Genomic DNA, 750 nt, shown 5'->3' with positions numbered 1-750 from the left:
GGAGCAGTACACTCCTACCCAAATACTGTGCTTGTCCCATGGTCTTCACAACTGGCAGACCAGGAGATTCCCCTCCCATGCCTGGCTTGGCAGGTCCCACGCCCACAGAGGCTTGCTCACTGCTAGCACCATAATCTGAGATCTACCTGGGATGCAGGAGATTGGCGGGGGGAGAGATGTCCACCATTGCTGAGGCTTGAGTAGGCGGTTCTATGCTCACAGTGTAAACAAAGTGGTGGGAAGCACGAATGGGGGAAGCCCACTGCAGCTCAGCAAGGCCTACTGCCTCTCTAGAATCCACCTCTGGGCACAGGGCATATCTGAACAAAAGGCAGCAGACAGCTTCTCCAGACTTAAACGTCCCTGCCTGACAGCCCTGAAGAAAGCAGTGGTTCTCCCAGCATGATATTTGAGCTCTGATAACAGACACACTGCCTCCTCAAGTGGGTCCCGGACCCCCATGTAGCCTCACTGGGAGACAACTCCCAGTAGGGGCCAACAGAACCTCATACAGGAGGATGTCTCCCTGGGACGAAGCTTCCCGAGGAAGGATCAGGCAGCAATATTTGCTGTTCTGCAATATTTGCTGTACTGCAGCCTCGACTGGTGATACCCAGGCAAACAGCGTCTGGAGTGGGCCTCCAGCAAACTCCAACAGACCTGCAGCTGAGGGGACTGTTAGAAGCAAAACTAAGAAATAGAAAGGAATAGCATCAACATCAACAAAAAGGACATCTACACCAAAAGCCC

General features: G+C 53.2%; 1 annotated feature.

Moving 5' to 3' along the window:
- Positions 245-446: a silencer, noted in NCBI's record as "fragment chrX:55700255-55700456 (GRCh37/hg19 assembly coordinates)". NCBI's record gives its function as "represses an EF-1alpha promoter that drives an FKBP-Casp9 reporter gene in an ReSE screen in phorbol 12-myristate 13-acetate-treated (for megakaryocytic differentiation) K562 erythroleukemia cells {active_cell/tissue: K562(+PMA)}" and the evidence as "EXISTENCE:reporter gene assay evidence [ECO:0000049][PMID:32094911]".

The sequence above is a fragment of the Homo sapiens genome, chromosome X (genome assembly GCF_000001405.40).
Source record: "Homo sapiens chromosome X, GRCh38.p14 Primary Assembly".
Lineage (NCBI taxonomy): Eukaryota > Metazoa > Chordata > Mammalia > Primates > Hominidae > Homo > Homo sapiens.
The sequence above is the reverse complement of the archived record's forward strand: the minus strand, read 5'-3'. Positions and strand labels throughout refer to the sequence as shown.